Consider the following 21,778-nt stretch of genomic DNA (forward strand, 5'->3'; position numbering starts at 1 on the left):
AAAAACAATAAAGATACTTACTATTGCCATTAATCTGGAACATTTCTGTTTGTCCTATAATAATTGCTTCTTATGAAATATTCCAACTATATAGAAATGTACAGAAAATAAACTAATGAGCATCTGGCCGCCCACCTTATAATGTTAACAAGTGCTGGCCGAGTGTAGTGGTGCGCACCTGTAGTCCCAGCTACTCCGAAGGCTGAGGTGGGAGGGTCGCTTGAACCTGGGAGGTGGAGGTTGCAGTGAGCCAAGATTGCACCACTGCACACCAGCCTGGGTGAGAGAGAGAGACTCTGTCTCAAAACAAAAAACAAAGAGCGAATGCTAACATTTTGCCATATTGGCTCCAAACCTTTAAAAAAAAATTAAAGAAATTAGGGGTTACCAATATAGTCGAGGACCACTTTGTGCCTCTCCCCATCCCCATTCCACTGACCCCCCTCTCCAGAGGCAAATGCTTATCCTAAATTGGTGAGTCCCCTCATCCTCTGTTTGGGGTTGGGGGGTACACCTACATTCCCAAGCTTCCTTGCTATGTTAGGAATTCCTCTGGGTTTGCTCAGTGAGAGGTACAGTTAGGAGCTTGACGGGCTGGAGAAGGGAAGACCAGGCGTTTCTCTCTCCCTCTCTCCCTGTCTATTGACCTTGAGCGGCATCTCCAGTAGAAGACACGTTTCTCTGTGGGCTCAACTTTTTCCAGGCAGCCTCCACCTTGATTCTATCTCCTACCAGACAAAGCTTCTGGGATGAGGAAGCAGCACTCTTTCTTTGTCCTTCTTCCTTAGGAGAAGGGATCTCTTCCTGCTGCTGCTAAACTAGTTGCCTCATCTCCTTTCAATAGCCCAGCTCTTCCATCACGTGTATCTGATCACCTATCATAACCACGTATTTGAATAAAACATGCAATTTTCAAAAATCTTAGCATAGTTTCTTTTCTTCTGGCTGGCCCTTTGACTGGTATACTTCCCATCCACATTTTTATTATATATGTATTTTTATTATATATGTACACATCCATACACAATCTCACAGACTGGGTGCTTTTAAAATGTATATAAAATGTATACAACTGATGCACAGGAAGCAATTTCAACCCAGAGCCCAGTGATATCTCCTTAGTGAGCATTTTGTGAACATTTTCTTCTTTGTGTCACTGTGATTATGACTTGCTTGATAAAAAGCTTTGGTTATAGGATAAAATGATTCGGTTTCTATTATGTGGTTTTTTGTTTGTTTGTTTCACTTGAACTTAACCAAACAGAGGTAAATTTAAAAAGCTAATGTGGAGAAATGCTGTGTTTTAAAAAGCAACTTCTTACTTATTCTGTTTTCTGTCTTTGTGGAGAAGGAGTCTTGCTCTGTTGCCCAGGCTGGAGTGGAGTGCAGTGGCATGATCATAGCTCACTGCAACCTTGAATTCCTGGGCTCAAGTGATTCTCCTGCCTCAGCCTCCTGAGTAGCTGGGACTACAGGCACAGGCATGATGTCCTGCTAATTATTTTTTGTAGAGACAGGATCTTGCGATGTTGCTATGTTTCCCAGGCTGGTTGGAAACTCCTGGCCTCAAGTGATCCTCCCGCCTCTGCCTTCCAAAATGATGGGATCACAGGCATGCGCCACCTCACCAGCCAGTTATCTGATTATATTTTCAGCATTTATATCTCGAGTAATGAGAACCTTACACGTCTCAGGGTCCTCAATGTCACAACTGTAACAAATACAATGCATCCATCCTAACATTTGTTCACTATTTTGTCCCAATTGGTTGGAAATAAAGCCACCATCATCATCACCTAAACCAAAGCTGCCTTTATGGGGAGACAATCTAAGGTATACACTACAGGTGTGTGTTAAAAAACTCTTATGATAATGTAGGGAACTTGCATTATGAAGAGAAAGGAAGGGGAGTAACCACAGAGAGGAAGATGGTAAGTAAAGTCAGTGTGGAAAAGGAAGGGAGCTTGTCGTGGGAAGTAGGGAGGCAAGGAGTGAGGCTCTTATGTTTCAAGTATTCTCTCCATTCATTGTCTAAGAGAGGGCTGGAAAGATGGGTAGCAGCTACCATGGAGATTCTGGAATCACTGTGACTGTCCTGCCTGGCCCAGGTAATCCAGAGGGCTAGACTTACCCTGTTGTATTTAAGTGAGATCTGGCAAATGCTGGGCAGATGATGCCAAACTATAACTGGGACCTAAAGGGATTTGGATGTCCCAGGCAAACCCCCTAATGCCTGACTGTCCAGGGCTGCTCCAGTCATTTCAACAACCTTGCAACAGCTCTGCATTTTACATGATTAAAAATTTGGACCCAGCGGGGCCTGGTGGTTCACACCTTTAATGCCAGGACTTTGGGAGGTCAAGGTAGGAGGATCGCTTGAGGCCAGGAATTTGAGACCAGCCTGGGCAACATAGTGAGACTGTTGCTATATGAACTATTAAATATAAAAAAATTTGGACCCTACTTATTGCATTATTGTGAGATTTAACTGTACATTATATTTAACAATGTACAGATGAGAGAGGCTTCTGTAGAAAATAGTTTTCAGTAAAATTTGAAAGAACCCTGAAGAGTGAAGATTGTTGGAAATAAGTTTTTTTTTTTTGCTTTAATGACCGTGCATGACTATAGAAATGTAAACTCCGAACATATAATTATGCAAAAATAGGCCAGTGGCAGTGGCTTACGCCTGTAATGCCAGCACTTTGGGAGGCTGAGGAGGATGGATCACTTGAGGTCAGGAGTTTGAGACCATCCCGGCCAATATGGTGAAACCTGGTCTCTAATAAAACTATAAAACTTATCTAGGCATGGTGGCACACGCCTCTAATCCCACTCAGGAGGCTGAGGCACGAGAATTGCTTGAACCTGGGAGGCAGAGGTTGCAGCGAGCTGAGATTGCGCCACTGCACTCCTGCCTGGGTGACAGAGTGAGACTCCATCTCAAAACAAAAACAAGCAAAGAAACACACAAAAATAAGAGATAAACAAACTTGGACAAAACCATTTGGCAATTTTCTTATAATCAAAAGAGTTTATTCATATAAATAAGAAAAATCTCAGATGCCACAAAGAAAGTTTTTACATAAAATTGACCATTAAATGACATGAAAAATTGTACAGACTAGTAATAAAAATGCAAATTAAAATAAGCTTTATACACTATCAAACCAGCAAAACTTAGAAATAAAAGAAAATCTATCTAGAAAGATTTGAATATTAAGAGGGTTTTTTTCTATGTTGTTTGGCAACAAGTTTATTTTTGTTATTCTTTTACATAATTTTCAAAATTTCCACAATAGGAAATGAACTTTTACATTCTAGAGAGGCATTAAGGATTTAAAAAATAACAGATTTAGCTCAATTAGTTATTTTATACATCCACTGGGAAAACCAAATGAAAGAGACACTTTTACTTGAAATTATTCTCATTTAACAAGCCTTTCGATTTTAGAAAATACGTATTCTGAATGTACAATGCAGTGGAATTTGATTACATTTAATTTTAAATTCTACCTAATTCATTTGTTTTTCCTCATTTGTTGTCAGCATTTTCCCAGACATTTCATGAAAGTTTTGCACCCTTAAAATCTTACAGTGTTGCCTTCCAGCACTTTTGTTGGTTCAAAAATATCAGCCCCCAGATAAGTTAGGGAGAGTTGGTGAGGACCAAGAGGACCTTGACCGTTACTAAAAAATTACGCAAGAGAGGTACTTGTGCCTCAGGGCTCTTGCCCTTGGTATTCTCACTGCCTGGGATGCTCTGCCCTCAGATATTAGAATAATTCTCTGACTTGTATTTTTAATTTCCTTGCCGATTTATCGTCTTTTCAGAGAGGACTTTCTTCATCACCCTATTTAAAATTAACCTACCTCCTCTGATATTTCTTCTTGCCCTTCTAAGTGTTTTCTTCTTCTCCATAGCATTTGTTTATCAATATGTCATGTATTTTATATATTTGCTGTTTGCTTGCTTACCCTGTTTCTACCCACTAGCATGTAAGCTCTATGAGAGAAGGGATTTTTGAGTTCTGTTAATTATTGTATTCCCCGCCTCAATAATATCTGGTGAATAAATAGATAGATGGAATGGATGGAACAATGGATGGACGAATGGATGGGTGGAGGGACGGAGGCATGGATGGATGGTTGGAAACATGGAAAGAAGGAAGGATGGATAGAAAGACAAATGGAAGGAGGGATGGGTGGAAGGATACATGGATTGGGGATGGATGAATGATGGATGGATGGATGGATGGATGGATGGATGAATGATGGATGGATGGATGGATGGATGGATGTGTGGGATATGATGAGGTTTCTCTTCAGATAACCTGATCAATCTTTTATTCTTTAATTCATAGTAATCCCTCCACCTTTTTTCCTTTTTCTCCTTTTTTCTCTTTTTTCCTTTGTTACATGCCCAGGCATGCCACAGTACCAGGTGGTATCTGTACCTGCTCACATTCCTTTCCTTATTTGGAAAGAGGACTAACTTTTTAGCTCATTACAGACACCCCTTCCCCTTTATTCTCTGCCTTTTTTACGTGCCCACCTTATCTAAAAAAAATCCAATGTTTAGCCAACCAGGATTAGTTTAGATTGTACGACCTGACCCTGGCCAATGGAGAAAGGGTACAGGGGCAGTACTTGTGTCAGGAGTAAAGGCTCTCGTGCCCCTTTTTCAGGTGTGCTCTCATGGCGACTGGACAAGGAGGCACCTCTCTGCGCAGAAGTAAAATTGCTTTGCTAAGAATCCTTTGTTCAAGTGTTCAATTTCCTTAAGATTTTGAGCGTTATTCCTAACAGTTCTGGAGCCCAACTTTGGGGCTCGAATCTTCTCCTTTGGGAAGGGGGCCTTCGGTCACCCCACCCGGAGGGGACGCATCCTACTGTCTAGTTACCGTGCCCCTAGGTTGAGGGAGATCAGGGCCCCCCCCCCGCTTTGTGACAAATAAGTCTGGATCTCAGCAAAGCGGGGAGGAGAAGCTTGCAAGACCGCAACAATAAGAGGACCAGGAAATTCTTGTGCATGGAATAAGGTAGGAGACTTGGCGAAGGTGACAAAGTATTTCCCAGGTGGTTGGGATAAGCTGGAGGCTGACAGTGTATGAATGGGACTTAGTATGGTGGTTATGTGGAGTGAGTGAGTCTTCTCTATGGCCTCATGCTGCCATCTGTCAACTAGAGTCAGGAACAGACAGAGTAGACAAAGAGGAAGGGGGAGGGTAGAAATCCAAACAGGTTGGGTTGGAGCCTTTCCCCAAAGCCTCAGTAAGCCTCCAGGAAGGGGGAGGGTAGAAATCTCACAGGAGGGGTTGGGCCTCCTCCCCATAATCCCTAAGATGGGGAACGTTTCAAGTAAGACAGGAAAACTAAAGAGTCTAGAGAGTGATGAATTTCCTTCTGATAGCCCCTTGGGGCTTATGCTAAAGTATTGAAAAAATAATAAGAGAACCAAGTATAAACAAAAACAGCAGATGATAGAATATTGTTGTTTTATTTAAGTTCGAGAACCCATCCTTAAGCCCTCACTTTTCTGGCCAAAATTTAAGTCTAATGAAGAGCGAATTTGTCAGCTGTTAATCAAATATGTTAACAGTAAGAGCCCTGTGTCCCAGGAAAAATCGATTACGCCCTCTGCTGGCGGCAGGGACCAGTTCTCCTTTACCCTTTAGACTCTGGAGGGAGAAAATCAGAAACCAACCTTTCTAAAAAGGAAAGAGTTCCCATGCCTAGACAACCCATACCTACCAAGACATGGGATCCTCTAAATCACCTTCCTTCCTTCAGCGCCCCCAATCCTGCCCCTTTGGTTCCCCTCTCAGGTCCCTCCGGCTGTGGTTTCAGGTTACTCCCCAGCTGTTTCAGGCCACGCCCCAGCCTGTGCTGTCCCTTCAGCTGAGGTTTCAAGTTACTCCCCAGCCGCTTCAGGCCACAACCCACCAAGTTAAAACTATATTAAATCAAAACGCAAGGAGGGAGATTACCAACTCAAAAATTTTAAAATATGAGGCTATCTTTCTGGGAAAAAGGTGATTTAATATTAAGTACTAATAATTCACTTTATTCAGCAGGCTCTTTAACGGGGGATCCAAACGTAAAACGAGAGAGCACGCGTGTTTAAATCGAATTAATTACCATACGAAAGTTCAACCAGACTTAGGAAAAACTCCCTTCAAGACAGGGTGGCACTTATTCATAGATGGAACCTCCCAGGTGATTAAAAGAAAGAGACATAATAGGTATTCAGTGATTAATGGAAAGACTGTTAAAAAAGTAAAATCAGGAAGGGGGTCTAATAATTGGTCTGTCCAAGGGTGTGAACTGTTTGCACTCAGCCAAGCTTTAGGACATTTACAAAACCAAGAAAATCTATCTATACTGACTCTAAGTATCCCTCTGGGGAGGCACACACATTTGGGAAAATTTGGATGGAGAGGGCTCTTATCAATAGTAGAGGCCAAGATTTAGTTCATAGAGAACTGATGCTCGTGTCCTCAACAATCTCCAATTGCCAGAAGAGATAGCTATTGTACATGTCCCAGGGCACCAAAACGACTCGCCTTTCACAAGTCCAGGAAATAATCTTGCAGATCAAATTGTGATACCCTATCTTGTTTTATCCTGATTGACTCTTTCTTAGCTGAGAGAGTCAATAGCTTGGGAGACTCAATTGAGAGTCAATATCGAGAGAGTCAATAGCTGAGAGAGTCTTAGCTTGGTTTCTTCGCTTGCAGCCCCTTGTCCCCCTCCTTAAGGACATAACTGGTGCAAGCTGACTCCAAGCACATCCAAGAATGCGCTTATTGATAAGATACTGAGGCAAGCTGTACCAGCAGCTCCTGGGAGCACACTTGGTTGGTGGTATCCAAAGCCCCTGCTTTTATCACTTTGGGATACTTTAAGCCCCTGCACCTGGAACTGTTTATTTTCCTGTAACTGTTTCTGTAACCATTTATCTTTTAATTTTTTCCTGTTCTGCTTCTGTAAAAAATTGCTTCAGCTAGACTCCCCCTCCCCTCTTTAGGCCAAGGTATAAAAAGAACTCTAGCCTCTTCTTCCGGACCGAGAGAATTTCAAGCTCTAGCTCTTTCTCAGTCGCCAGCAATAAAGGACTCCTGAATTAGTCTCAGAGTGTGGCATTCTCTCTATGACTTGCTCGGTTACGACATTTGGAAGCCCCAGAGAGATTCGCCACCGGGTGAAGACCTGACTCATTCCGGGCTTCCCCAGACAGACAGCTGGCTTACAGGGCCACCTGAAGACGTTCCAGGGCTCCACAGGCCACTGTCTTCTGGAGGGGAACGGATCGACTGCCGGTGCGCCCAGCCAAATTCAACTCCTGAGTCCTCAGTCTCTAGTCCCGGGAAGGTAAGTCAGATCTGACTCTGTCTCTCTGGGAGGGAAACGGCCCTGACGAAGGTCCTCCCTCAGACTCTGTCCATGCTCCAGGACACTGGAGGACAGAGTCCTGGTTTCTGTCAGGATTCTCTGTTAAGTCTAGTCTCTCTCTCTCTCTATCTCTTCTCCCTCTCTCATTCAGGTCTCCGGGAGATCTCTGTTTTAGAATGGGTATAAAAATTGTAATAAACTCTGAGTGAGTGAGTGAGTGAGTGAATGTGGAGTTCAAGGGCTTGCGCTTGAATTTCCAGTTTGTAGCTCCAGGGTGAAAGCTAGGGAATTCGAGAAGGCCCTCACCTGTGGTTCCGTGGTGACCTCATAAGGCTTAGGGCGGCATCAGGCATAGCTCGATCCAAGCCAGGGGTTTATACCAGCCTGCCAATGCCAAGAGGAGCCTAAGTCCCCGAAAGGGGAGCAGCCAGGAGGGCATCTGACTGATCCCATCACGGGACCCCCTCCCCTTGTCTGTCTATAAAAATTGCCATGCTTGTTTATATACCCCAGTGCCTATTGTCCTGTTTAGTGTCTGTCTAAATTTCATATGTCGGATCGTCGATACTGCCCAAAATGACTGGGCAAGGACTTCTTCAAGGTCCTTAGTACAGATTTTCTATCCCAGGAGGTCAAATTCCTCATTAGTCGGTTGGGCTGGCCATCCCAGTCCTGCCTTTCCTGTCAGAAACAAATTAGGTGTTGTTATGGGGAAGGGTGTGGAAGACATTCACCCGTTTAGGATTTCTGGCACCATAAAGATTGCTGGCGTTTGGATTGCCATACCCCACGCCCCAACGACTGGTCCACCTTCTCCTTAGACCAGTGGTGGATCCAAAATAGCCACCCTGCTGACCTCCTTACTCACCTTTTCTGTCATCCCATAACTTTTCCCATGCCCTTAAATAAGGCACTGTGCAGAGAAACCTACACCCATACTGCTCTACTCTGTCTGGACTCTTATTTTACCTCTTTTGGCTACTCTCCAACCTTTAGGGAAATCCAAGTGGCCCCTTTCCTCCTCATCCCCATCCCTTACCCTGCACATCTCATTTTCCTGTGTTGCAGCAAGTCCAGCGTCTCTAAGACTTGGCTGTGTTCTCCCTCCTTAAACCCGTGAAGGAAAGGACCGAGTTTGAACATTTTGCTTTCGAGTCGTGGAGACACCAAAGTTATTTGGGATATAAGTCAAGAAGGGGGGGTCACCTAAGTCCCACTGGCTGAGGATCCCTTGGACCCACCTCTTATCCTCTCCATAGATCTCGAAGCTTGAGGAGACAGACCTTATGTGGCAAGAAATATTGGCTATAGTTGTTTTCCTACTTCTTCTAGCTATAATACTTCTGTTCTTCTGATACCATAGCCTCCCAGGCCGTGAATATCTTTGTCCATGCTGGGTTTAATATTTTTGTTCAAACCTTGTTAATTGCCTCCAGAATAGTAAACTCTTCTTCCCGGCCCCATAAAGATTGGAGTCCTCTCCAGTGTATGTTGCAGAATTTCTCTCTAGGCTTCTCAGATGATTACGGGGTCCGCCTTAAAAAAGGCAAACTCTGGACACTCTGCGAAGTAGAATGGCCAAAGTTTGGAACTGGGTGGCCCCCAGACGGGTCACTACACTTCACAGCTGTTCAGGCTGTGTGGTGGGTCGTTGTTGGAACTCCCGGTCACCCCGATCAGTTTCCCTACATTGATCAATGGCTAGATTTAGTCCAGAGCTCTCCTTCATGGCTCCACTCGTGATAAAACTCTGTAGCCATTCGTGATCCTACCTCCAAGGTCCTTTTTAGCCAGACCTCACTTTTGCCTCCACCCTCAGCTCCCTCGATTCCTCCTGTACTGCCTCCTTCTGAAGAAGAGGAAAGTTTTCTTCACCCATTTCCACCACCCTATAACCCTCCTCCTCCCCCAGAATCTTCCCTTGTCTCCTCAACTACATCCTCTGTGGCCTCTCTGCCTATATCCTCCCAATTATGGCCTCAGCCGGAGGAGGTGGCCCCGCTCCTCCCACTGACAGAGGCCCAAATCCCTTTGGGCAGTGGGCGTTGTGCTCCATTTTTAGTTTATGTCCCCTTCTCTACTTCTGACCTGTACAACTGGAAGGCTCATAATCCCCCCTTTTCTGAAAAGCCCCAGGTCTTAACCTCACTGATGGAGTCTGTGCTCCAGACTCACCGGCCCACCTGGGATGAGTGTCAGCAACTCCTTTCATCCCTTTTCACCTCTGAAGAGAGGGACCATATCTGAAGAGAAGCCAGAAAGTATTTCCTTACATCAGCCAGCTTTTAGAGATAGCCCAGAGAGTTTTCGACAATCGAGAATTTGAAAAGCAAAAACAGGTAGCTCAGGCAGCTGAAAGGGCTGCAGACAAAGCATCAAAAAGACAGGCAAAAAGCTTAGTGGCTGCCATCCAAGAAGCCAAAAAGGAAGGGCCCCCATCACAGAGCACTGACCAGGGGACCCCGAGTCCCCACCAGGAAGGCCAGAAACGTGAGAGGACTCCCCTATAAAGAAACCAATGTGCTTCTTGCAAGCAGATTGGACACTGGAGAAAGGAATGCCCATTAAAGCCAGAGGAGAAACCAGAAAAGAAAAAGGTCCTCACCCTGCCCCGCAGCAGAGGAATCTGATGATTGACGGGGCCAGGGCTCTTTGTCACTTGGCCCCGGGAACCCATGGTGACCACCACAGTGGGGGGCCAGCCTGTACGCTTCCTAATTGACACCGGGGTGGAACACTCAGTACTCCAGACACCCTTAGGCAGTGTCTAATAAAAAGGTTGCTGAGTAAAGGGCTACTGGAGCTATTCAGGAATATCCTGTCACCCACTCACGAGAGGTGAGTTTAGGACAGAAAAGAGTAACCCACTTGTTCCTCGTGGTCCCAGAGTGCCCCTTCTCCCTCCTCGGATGAGACCTGCTTCATAAGCTACAGGCGTCCATCTCCTTCTCGGCCCAACAAACTCACCTCATGTTAGGGGACACAATGCCCCCTACTGCTCAGCTCCTGCTAACCACCCTTCGGTCAGAGGAATATCTCTTAGTTTCACCCTCACAACTGCCGGAGAATAAAAGTAATCCTCTCCTACTGGCTTTACAGACTCTGTTTCCTCATACCTCCCAGGACTGGCAAACCACCATCTGCCAGCTGTTGTAGAACTCCTGGCCACCACCCTGCCGGTCCAGGTCAAACAATATCCTATGATTCTGTGGGCTATAGAGGGAATTAATCCTCATATTCAGCAACTATTACAAGCTGGTATACTCACACCATGTGAGATCGCCTGGAATATTCCATTTTTGCCGGTCCAGAAACCCGGAACAAATGATTACCAGCCTGTACAGGACTTGCAGGAAGGTAACAAGCAGACAGTCACTGTCCATCCAACTGTCTCTAACCCTTATACTTTACTCAGCCTGCTCCCACCAGAACATATGGTGTACACTGTCCTTGACTTCAAGGATGCTTTTTTTTGCTATTCCTCTGGCCCCAAAAGTCAACCTATCTTTGCTTTTGAACAGACATATCCTGGCTCGGTAGACACCACCCAATTAACCTGGACTTGGTTACCCCGAAGTTTTAAAAATTCCCCCACCCTTTTTAGGGAAGCCCTCCAACAGGATCTTTTACCATTCTGAGCCAGTCACCCTAACTGCACTCTTCTCCAGTATGTAGACGACCTGTTATTGGCTACTGAAACTACTGACAGCTGCCTGCAACATACTACGGACCTACTTTACCTCCTTCAGGAATTCGGGTATCAGGTCCCAGCCAAGAAGGCCCAGCTTTTTCTTCCCAGCATTTCCTACCTAGGGTATGAGACAAATGAAGGAAAAAGGGCACTCACCAGTGCTCGAAAGGCAGCCATCCTTCAAATCCCCACTCCCACCACTAAGAGACAGGTACATGAATTCCTGGGCACCGTGGGATATGGTCGCCTATAGATATTGGGGTTCATGGAAATTGCCAAACCCCTGTACACCACTACTGGAGGGAATACCCCGCTGGTTTGGACTGACAAAGAAGAACAGGCTTTTCAAAATCTGAAGAAGGCACTAACTGAGGCCCCTGCTCTTGCCCTCCCAAATATCTCAAAACCATTTCACCTTTTTGTTCATGAAAACCAAGGAGTCGCTAAAGGGGTACTTACTCAGACTTTAGGGCCATGGCAACACCCAGTGGCCTATTTGTCTAAGAGACTGGACCCTGTGGCCTCTGGGTGGCCAAGTTGTCTGTGAGCCATAGTGGCAACAGCAAGCCAGGTCCAGGAGGCTGATAAACTGACTCTGGGCCAGAATTTAACCCTTACGGCTCCTCATGCTGTAGAGACCTTGCTACAAAGTGCTTCTGGCAAATGGATGTCGAATGCTCGCATCTTGCGGTATCAGAGTTTACTGTTAGATCAGCCGCGTTTAACTTTCTCTCCCACAAGGTGTTTAAATCCAGCTACCTTGTTCCCTGATCCAGACCTTACCACACCTGTCCATGACTGCCAAGAACTGTTAGAAACTATGGAAACTGGCTGACCTCATCTCCAAGATGTGCCTCTAAAGGAGGTGGATGCCACCGTGTTTACAGATGGTAGCAGCTTCCTTGAACAGGGAGTACAGAAGGCTGGTGTGGCCATTACTATGGAGACAGATGTACTGTAGGCCCAGGCACTGCCGGCAGGTACCTTGGCACAGAGGACTGAGTTGGTAACCCTGACTCAGGCCCTCCAATAGGGTAAAGACAAATGTATTAACATCTACACTGACAGCAGGTATGCTTTTGCTACTGTACATGTACACAGAGCCATCTATCAAGAGCGAGGGCTACTCACCTCAGCAGGAAAGAGTGTCAACAACAAAGAAGAAATTTTAGCCCTGCTTGAAGCTGTTTGGCTCCCTCAACAGGTGGCTGCAATTCACTGCAAAGGACATCAAAGAGAAGACATGGCCATTGCTCGTGGTAACCAAAGAGCAGACTCTGCAGCTTGAGAGGCAGCTCAGCTCCTGGTCGTGCCTTTAACCCTGCTGCCCTCTGTGTCCTTTCCACAACTGACTGGGCAGACTACCCAGAATACTCCCCAGAGGAAGAAAAACAAGCTTCGGATCTTCAAGCCAGTAAAAATCAGGAAGGTTGGTGAATTCTTCCTGATTCCAGAATCTTCATGCCCCAAGCCCTTGGGGAAACTTTTATCAATCATCTACATTCTACCACCCATTTAGGAGGAGTAAAACTGGCCCAGCTTCTAAGGAGCCATTTCAAGATCCCCCACCTTCAGGACTTAACTAACCAAGCAGCTCTCCAGTAAACGGCTTGTGCCCAAGTAAACACCAAGCAAGGTCCTAAGCCCAGCCCAGGCCACCGCCTCCAGGGAGGCTTGCCAGGAGGAAGGTGGGAAATTGACTTTACAGAGGTAAAACCACACTTGGCAGGGTATAAATACCTCCTGGTGCTAGTAGACACCTTTTCTGGATGGACTGAGGCATTTGCCACCAAAAACGAAACTGCTACCACGGTAGTTAAGCTTTTACTCAATGAAATCATCCCTCAACATGGACTGCCTGTTGTAATAAGGTCTGATAATGGACCAGCCTTCACCTCGTCCATAGCTCAGTCGGTCAGCAAGGCATTAAACATTCAATGGAAACTCCATTGTGCCTATCGACCCCAGAGCTCTGGACAAGTAGAATGCATGAACCCCATCCTAAAAAGTACTCTTGCAAAATTAATCCTAGAAACCAGTGAAAACTAGGTAAAGCTCCTTCCTTTAGCCCTTCTTAGAGTAAGATGCACCCCTTACCAGGCTGGGTTTTCACCTTTTGAAATCATGTATGGAAGGGCTCCGCCTATCTTGCCTAAGCTAAAGGATACCCATTTAGCAGAAATCTCACAAGCTAACTTGTTACAGTACCTGCAGTCTCTCCAACGGGTACAAGACATCATCCAGCTGCTTGTCAGGGGAGCACACCCCAGCCCAGTTCCTGACCAGACTGGGCCCTGCCACTCTTTCCAGCTGGGTGACCTAGTGTATGTTAAAAAGTTCCAGAAAAAAGGACTGACTCCTGCCTGGAAAGGACCTCATACTGTCATCCTCACCACACCAACAGCTCTGAAGGTGGACGGCACTCCTGCTTGGATTCATCATTCTCGCATCAAAAAGGCCAACAAAGCCCAGCAAAAAAAATGGGTCCCCAAGCCTAGGCCAGGCCCCTTAAAACTGCGCCTAAGTTGAGTAAAGCTATCGAATTAATTCTTTTTATTTACCTCTTCTGTCTGTTTCCACCTGTTATGTCCTCTGCCCCTTCCTACTCTTTTCTCCTCACTTCCTTCATGACAGGATGTGTGTTTGCAAACACCACTTGGAAGGTGGGACCCTCCAAGGAAGTCTCTTTTGTAGTCGGTTTATGTGCTTTGTTCCCCGACCCTGCCCATACCCTTGAAGAGCAATGCAATCTGCCGATCATGAGAGCAGGGAACGCTGACCTTGCTGCAGGGTTCGGACACACCAGAAGCCAAACTGGATGTGGAAGTTCTAAGGGTGCAGAAAAAAGGCTCCAGAGCGTTGACTTTTACCTTTGTCCTGGAAATCGCCCTGACTCTAGTTGTCGAGATTCTTACCAGTTTTTCTGCCCTTACTGCATGTGTGTAACCTTGGCCACTTACTCTGGAGGATGAACCTGATCCTCAACCCTTTCCATAGCTTGTGCTTCCCATCCTAAGCCGTGTACTATAGGAAATTGTAATCCTCTTACTATAACTCTCCGTAACCCTAGTTTAACTCAATGGTATTACAGCATGTCATAGGGATTAAGGCTTTATATTTCAGGATTTGATGTTGGAACTATGTTCACCATCCAGAAAAAATTCCTGGTCCCATGAAGCCAATCAGAACTTTAACTGATTTAGGTGACCCTATGTTCCAAAAACACCCAGAGAGAGTCGATTTAACTGTCCCACTGCCATTCCTGGTTCTGAGACCCCAGCTGCAATGACAATACCTCCAACCCAGCCCGATGTCCATTTTGGACGGGATACATCACCTCCTTAATCTCACCAAGCCTAAACTAGCCTGAGATTGCTGGTTGTGCCGAAAGGCCAAACCCCCATATTATGTTGGATTAGGAGTAGAAGCCATGCTCAAAATGGACTCTCTTTCTTGTCATACGTGCCCCCATGCCCTTACACTAGGAGATGTGTCAGGGAATGCCTTCTGTCTAATTAGCGCAAGGTATAACTTACCTGCTTCTCCCTTTCAGGCTACTTGTAGTGAGTCTCTCCTTACTTCCTTAAACCCCTCAGTCTCCTACCAGGCACCCAAAAATACCTGGTTGGCCTGCATTTCAGGCCTCACTCGCTGCATCAATGGGACTGAACCTGGACCTCTCCTATGCATGTTGATTCATGTACTCCCCCAGATCTACATGTACAGTGGGCCAGAAGGACAACTTCTCATTGCTCCCCCTGAATTGCATTTCAGGTTTCACCGAGCTGCCCTACTCCTTGTACCCCTTCTAGCTGGCCTTAGCATAGCTACGTCAGCAGCTATTGGCACGACTGCCCTGATTCAAGGAGAAACTGGACTAATATCACTATCTCAACAGGTAGATGCTGATTTAAGCAATCTCCAATCAGCCATAAATATACTACATGCCCAGGTAGAGTCTCTAGCTGAAGTAGTTCTTCAAAACCGCCGAGGCTTAGATCTGCTATTTATCTCCCAAGGAGGTTTATGCACAGCTCTAGAAGAAAGTTGTTGTTTCTATGCCAATCAGTCTGGAGTCATAAAAAATACTCTTCAAAGAGTTCGAGAAAATCTAGATAGATGCCAGAAGGAACAAGAAAGTAACACCACCTTTCTCATTCCTGGAGTACCAAAGTACCAAAGCATGTTTAACTGGAATCCCTGGCTAACTACTCTAATTACTGGGTTGGCGGGACCCCCTTCTCCTCCTCTTGTTAGGGTTAGTCTTCAGGCCTTGTATATTAAATTGGTTTCTTAATTTTGTAAAGCAACGCATAGCTTCTGTCAATCTTATGTATCTTAGAACCCAATATAACACCCTTGTTATAACCGAGGAATCAATGATCTGATTCCCCCAAACACGAGTGGGAAATGTGATACCCTAACTTCTTTTAACCTGATTGACTCTCTCTTAGCTGAGAGAGCTGGACAGACTCCATTTTGGTTTCTTCACTTGCAGCCCCTTGTCCCCCTCCCTTAAGGACATAACTGGTGCAAGCTGACTCCAAGCACATCCAAGAATGCGCTTACTGATAAGATACTGAGGCAAGCTGTACCAGCAGCTCCTGGGAACGCACTCGGTTGACGGTGCCCAAAGCCTTTGCGTTTATCACTTTGTGATAATTTAAGCCCCTGCACCTGGAACTGTTTATTTTCTTATTACTGTTTCTGTAACCATTTATCTTTCAACTTTTTTGCCTGTTCTGCTTCTGTAAAAAATTGCTTCAGCTACACTCCTCCTCCCCTCTTTAGACCAAGGTGTAAAAAGATGTGTAGCCCCTTCTTCGGGGCTGAGAGAATTTTGAGCTCTAGCCGTCTCTCGGTTGCTGGCAATAAAGGATCACTGAATTAGTCTCAGACTGTGGCATTCTCTCTATAACTCAGTCGGTTACAATAAAATAGCAAAACAAGTTGCCATTTCTTCCATTTAACTCCATGCCCTCCTCCTACTGTAACCCGTTTTCTCTTCCATTGAACAAAAGACGTTGATAAAAATAGGAGCTAAAGAAAATGCGGATAGGAAATGGATATTATCAGATCAAAGGGAAATGTTGTCAAAACCTCTCATGAGGGAAGTCTTGTCTCAATTACATCAAGGGACCCATTGGGGACCCCAAGCAATGTGCAATGCAGTTCTCCGGGTTTATGGGTGTATAAGAATTTACACCCTGGCCAAACAAGTTATAGATAGTTGCTTAACATGTAAAAAAAGCTAATAAGCAGGATCTAAGGAAATTGCGCCTTGGTGGAAGAAATCCAGCACTGAGACCATTTCAAAGTGTTCAGATCAATTACACTGAAATGCCTCCAATTGGTAGTTATACTTATTAGTAATAATAGACCATTTTACCCACTGGGTAGAGGCAATCCCATTCTCACGTGCAACCTCCAGTAATGTAGTTAAAGCGCTAATTGAAAACATCATACCCAGATTTGAACTAATAGAAAATACTGATTCAGATACTGCAACCCATTTCACTGTGCATGTCATTAAGAAGTTAGCACAGGTACTAGATATACATTGGGAATACCATACTCCTTGGCATCCATCCTCCACAGGAAGAGTAGAGTGGATGAATCAGACTCTAATAAACCACTTAACTTAGTTTTAGAAACTCGATTGCCATGGACTAAATATACTCCTATTGCTTGGTTAAGAATCCGGACTGCCCCTTGGAAAGATATTGGCCTGTCACCTGAGGAAACGCTCTATGGAATGCCCTACTTACACTCCATTGCTGACATCCCTATGTTTGAAACAAAGGATCATTTCCTCAAAAATTATATACTTGGTCTAGGCTCTACCTTCTTTTCCCTTGGGACTAAAGGTCTCCTAGCACAGGCATCACCCCTGGAGTTTCCAGAACATCAGCATTGGCCTTGAGACCATGTTCTCATCCAAGGGTAGAAGAAAAGGAAGCTCGAACCAGCCTGGGAAGGACCCTACCTAGTGCTCCTATGTACTGAGACTGCAGTCTGGACAACAGAAAGAGGATGGACTCATCACACCCGAGTCAAGAAGGTGCCGCCACCTCCAGAATCATGAACTGTCACTCCACAGCCCACCCCCACCAAATTAACTCTAAAAAGAGCTTAATAATCACTTATTTATTCTCTTTTTTCTTTTCAACAGAAGGTCATCTTGTCATCAGTGTAACTCAGGCTAGTCATTTTTTAACCCTTCAGTTTGATGCCTGTTCAGTCATCCCGTATGGAGATGAGCAAGGTCAAAAGAAGCTAGCCCATGTTGATAAGTGTCTATGTCTATACCACAAAAAATCAAGCATGTATAAGTATGGAGTGTTAAAAGTCCCAGTGGTGACTGGGCAGATGTTTGGTGGACTAATAAGTACAAAGGGTGGAGAGCCAAGCTCCCTGCTTCAAATAAATTATGACGACCAAAACAAAAAACTCCAACTAGTCCCTGGTCCCACCCCACCAAATTGTAAGCCATGACACTGTAACCCCTTGTTGCTGATTATAAATAATCCCCGGACCATGGCCCAAGAGCCCTCTATATTCAAACAGTATGGGCTAGGAGGAGATGTTGAAGGACAGATCCATTTCTTAGAGAAATGAATGTGACAATGAAAAATGACACTACTCTTCGTTCATTTTTCTTTGACAAAATAATTTTTCTGTCAATTTTGTATGTATTTAATTTTAACCAAGTAAAGCTTCTTATGGACATATATTCATCAGATTTAAAAAATGAGTTTCTTAAAGGTGCAAAACCAGGAATAGCTTGGTAAATTCATGAAGCTAGAAAGTAGCTAATCAAAGTTCTTATTAAACCTTCTGGGGTTGATTAAGAGTAGCCAAAATTATGCCAGGTGCAGTGGCTCACGCCTGTAATCCCAGCACTTTGGGAGGCCAAGGCAGGCAGATCCCAAGGTCAGGAGATTGAGACCATCCTGGCCACCATGGTGTAACCTCGTCTCTAACAAAAACACAATAATTAGCTGGGTGTGGTGGTGTGCACCTGTAGTCCTAGCTACTTGGGAGGCTGAGGCAGGAGAATTGCTTGAACCCGGGAGGCAGAGGTTGTAGTGAGCTGAGATTGGGCAACTGCACTCCAGCCTGGGTGACAGAGCGAGACTCCACCTAAGAAAAAAAAAAAACTATTAGCGAAAATTCCTTGTAACAAATCCCCTCAAGAGGTGAAATCTATTTCCCTACTCCTTGGCCCCGTCCTGGCCTTGAGACTTGCTTTGATCAATAGAAGGTGACAGAAGTGACACTGCACACATTCCAAGGGTAGGCCTCCTACAATGCTGCTACCTATGAACAAGCCCAAGTTAGCCTCATGGAAAACGGAAAACACATAAAGAGGGTCCCTGTCTTCCCTGACAACCCAGTCCACCCAGTGAGGCCCACAGAGGTGAGGAAACCCAGCTGATACCACGTGGTTCTGAGATCGGCTTATCAGCTGATTCCTGCCCAAATTGCCAACCCACAAAATCACGAGCAAATAAATGGTTGCTGTAATAACCAGTTGGGTTGTTACACGAAAACAGCTAATAGATATACCTTCTTAATCTCAATTATCTAAAAAAGATATCCCTCCTCACTGATTCATAGCTAAGTGGTTCTAGAAGGAATATTTTTATGAATAATACACATTTCTTTATTCTGTGCATCACATGAAAATGGTCAGAATCAAAATGGAGTCACTAATGTTAAAAAACAAACAAAAGACTCTGACAAATACAGCTGGGAAGACCATGAAAAGAGGGTTCTAATGGTTGTACACCTGAAAACCAAAAGTACCACGAAAGACGGCGAACACCACAACCTTGAGCAAAGGCCATTCCAACTGAACAGAAAACATACTCTGCAAGGACCTCTGAACAACTGCCTGTCCAACCTCAGACTAACACCACTTTCGTGATTGATCTTTGGAGCCAAGGCTAATTAATTCAAAGAAATTAGATAATCCTCATTTTTTCCTTAAAAAATTTTTGTTTTCCTTTATTTTCCCAAATATACACATAGTTTACTGTGGCATGCATACTCCCATTGCAGTGGTCTATTCCCAGAGAAATATTTTTCTTTTAGGGACCTCTCTCTGTTATTTAGGTTTATAGTCACAAAGGATTTACTATTTCAACAATACTAGCACTGCATATCATCCAGTATACACTGGGAAAATAAGGTGCCCCATGTGCAGATCCAGGAGACTTTGTGACCACCAGATTATGAGGCATGCATGTATTTATTTATTTATTTTTGAGATGGAGTCTCTATCTGTCACCCAGGCTGGATTCCAGTGGCATAATCTTGGCTCACTGCAATCTCCACCTCCTAGGTTCAAGTGATTCTCAGGCCTCCCAAGCAGCTGGGACTACAGATACGAGCCACCTATGTGGCTAATTTTAGGATTTTTAGCAGACACAGGGTTTCACCATGTTGGCCAGGCTAGTTTCAAACACTTGAGCTCAAGTGATCCACCTGCCTTGGCCTCCCAAAATGCTGGGATTACAGGTGTGAGACACCATGCCCGGACCATGCATGTATTATTAATGTTGAAGTAGATAATTTAACAAACATCAATGAAGTGTTAACATTTTTCACTCATAGGTGCAAAATATCATGCCAATTGCCTTCTATGAGCTGTCGTAAGCCACAGCCTAGAGATTCAATTCCATTTCAAGATTCAACCAAAGCCAACTCATCAACAAGAACATGTAAAAGACAGAAAAACCCACTACCGGCAGGCTGAAACAGATGCTGTGACGTGGCCCTGGCCTGTCATGGCATGTCACAGCATGGCACAGGCCTATATCATGTTCCCTAGACTGCTGACTACCAACTAGTTACAGCTGACTCCAATCAGGTCGGGATTTGACCATCTCTGCACTGAACCTGCAATTGTAACTTTTAAAATTGAAACGCTGCTTCTCACCTCTCCTCCCTAGACTCCATTTCACAGGGAAACCATCACAGGGAAAGAAAGCCTTTGTTTTTTCTTCCTTCTTTGCTTTGCTTTCTCTCTTTCTTTTACACAGGGTCTCACTGTGTCGCCCAGGCTGGAGTGCAGTGGCACAATCTCGGCTCACTGCAACTTCCACCTCCTAGGTTCAAGCAATTCTCCTGTCTCAGCCTCCCAAGTAGCTGGGATTACAGACATGTGCCACTGTGTCTGGAGTTGATTCCTTCCAGTGGTTTTGTGGTCTGGCTGACTTCAAGACTGGAGCAGCGGACCTTCACAGTGAGTGTTACAGTTCTTAAAGATGGCACAGACCCAAAGAGTGAGCAGCAGGAAGATTTATTTTGAACAGCGGAAGAACAATGCTTCCACATCCTGTAAGGGTACCTAAGCGGGTTGCCTAAGCGTTGCTGCTGGGGGCTGGGGTGACCAGCTTTAATTCCCTTATTTGTCCCTACCCACTTCCTGTTGATTGGTCCATTTTACAGAGTGCTGATTGGTCCATTTTACAGAGTGCTGATTGGTCTATTTTACAGAGTGCTGATTGGTCCATTTTACAGAGCGCTGATTGGTCCATTATACGGAGCACTGATTGGTCCATTTTACAGAGTGCTGATTAGTCCATTTTACAAACCTCTAGCTAGCCACAGAGCACTGATTGGTGCATTTTACAATCCTAGCTACAGAGTGCTGATTGGTGCATCTTACAATCCTCTTGTAAGATAGAAAATTTCTCCGAGTCCCCACCCAACCCAGAAGTCCAGCTGGCTACACCTCTCACCACCACACCTACCTAATTTCTGTATTTTTAGTAGAGAGGGAGTATCACCATGTTGGCCAGGCTTCTTTCTTAATCTTTTCTTTTCTTTCTTTCCTTCCTTCCTTTCTTCCTTCCTTCCTTTCTCTTTCTTTCTTTCTTTCTTTCTTTCTTTCTTTCTTTCTTTCTTTCTTTCTTTCTTTCCTTCTTTCTTCCTTCCTTCTTTCCTTCCTTCCTTGCTCCCTTCCTTCCTTTACTCTCTTTCTGTCTTTTTCTGTCTGTTTTCTCTATTCCTTACTCTTCCCTCATTCCTTCCCTCCCTCCCCCAACTCTTCTTTCCTTCCTTTCTCTCTCCCTCCCTACTTTCCAACTTTGGGCTGTGTTGAATTTGTTGACTCATCGTGAACAAACAGAAACTCCAATGATACTGTTACCCAAGAGAACTTTGCAAAAGGTTGTCATGTTTAATAATTCATTCACAGAATCCTCAATCTCACAAAAGCCTGGAATGGATTTTCTGTTTGGACAGGGCAGGGAAGCTACTGTGGCCAGGCTCCAGCTCTTCCCACTGCAGCTAGCACAAGCCTTCTAAAGCAGGATGTGGCCAGGCACAGCTCATGCCTGTAATCCCAGCACTTTGGCAGGCCGAGGTGGGTGGATCACCTGAGGTCAGGAGTTTGAAACCAGTCTGTCTCTACTAAAAATACAAAAGTTAGATGGGAGTGATGGTGGGTGCCTGTAATCGCAGCTATTCAGGATGCTGAGGCAGGAGAATTGCTTGAACCTGGGAGACAGAGGTTGCAGTGAGCCAAGATCACACCACTGCACTCCAGCCTGGGCATCAGAGCAAGACTCCGTCTCAAAAACAAACAAACAAAAAGCAGTGAGAGGTGAAGCCACCTGGACTTCCTGGGTTGAGTGGAGACTTGGAGAACTTTTCTCTTTAGCTAGCAGATTGTAAAGTCAC

At 44.9% G+C, this 21,778-nt stretch overlaps 1 protein-coding gene and 1 long non-coding RNA gene across 17 annotated transcripts in view, besides 2 other annotated features; one reads left to right on the top strand and one right to left on the bottom strand.

Annotated features, from left to right (window-relative positions):
• Window positions 1-5,481: 5,481 nt before the first annotated feature.
• LOC105375520 (uncharacterized) lies at window positions 5,482-16,721 on the bottom strand. 11 transcript variants are annotated; one of them, XR_001745374.2, is made up of 4 exons: window positions 12,218-16,721; window positions 10,664-11,204; window positions 9,579-9,638; window positions 5,482-8,957 (listed from the first exon to the last, which is right to left on the bottom strand). It is a non-coding gene; the product is annotated as an uncharacterized LOC105375520 (long non-coding RNA). The 11 variants fall into 11 exon arrangements; XR_001745373.2 differs by having other exon boundaries at window positions 9,571-9,638; XR_001745372.2 differs by having other exon boundaries at window positions 10,363-11,204.
• AKR1B15 (aldo-keto reductase family 1 member B15) overlaps window positions 7,235-21,778 on the top strand; it is a 30,760-nt gene continuing 16,216 nt past the window's right edge. For 5 of the 6 annotated variants that reach the window (NR_160301.1, NR_160302.1, NM_001367821.1 and 2 more), the window contains exon 1: window positions 7,235-7,374. The gene's annotated coding sequence lies outside the window, so the exon portion shown is untranslated. Of the gene's footprint in view, window positions 7,375-14,860; window positions 14,985-21,778 lie in introns of all 6 variants that reach the window. The other variant, NM_001080538.3, reaches the window with a different exon arrangement.
• Window positions 7,246-7,305: an enhancer, noted in NCBI's record as "active region_26690". NCBI's record gives its function as "activates an Ori minimal core promoter by ATAC-STARR-seq in GM12878 lymphoblastoid cells {active_cell/tissue: GM12878}" and the evidence as "EXISTENCE:reporter gene assay evidence [ECO:0000049][PMID:35858748]".
• Window positions 20,564-21,763: an enhancer, noted in NCBI's record as "BRD4-independent group 4 enhancer chr7:134247191-134248390 (GRCh37/hg19 assembly coordinates)". NCBI's record gives its function as "activates an origin of replication core promoter dependent on BRD2, P300/CBP, MED14 and CDK7 cofactors, and independent of BRD4, by STARR-seq in HCT116 cells {active_cell/tissue: HCT116}" and the evidence as "EXISTENCE:reporter gene assay evidence [ECO:0000049][PMID:35650434]".

The sequence above is a fragment of the Homo sapiens genome, chromosome 7, assembly GCF_000001405.40.
Source record: "Homo sapiens chromosome 7, GRCh38.p14 Primary Assembly".
Classification (NCBI taxonomy): domain Eukaryota; kingdom Metazoa; phylum Chordata; class Mammalia; order Primates; family Hominidae; genus Homo; species Homo sapiens.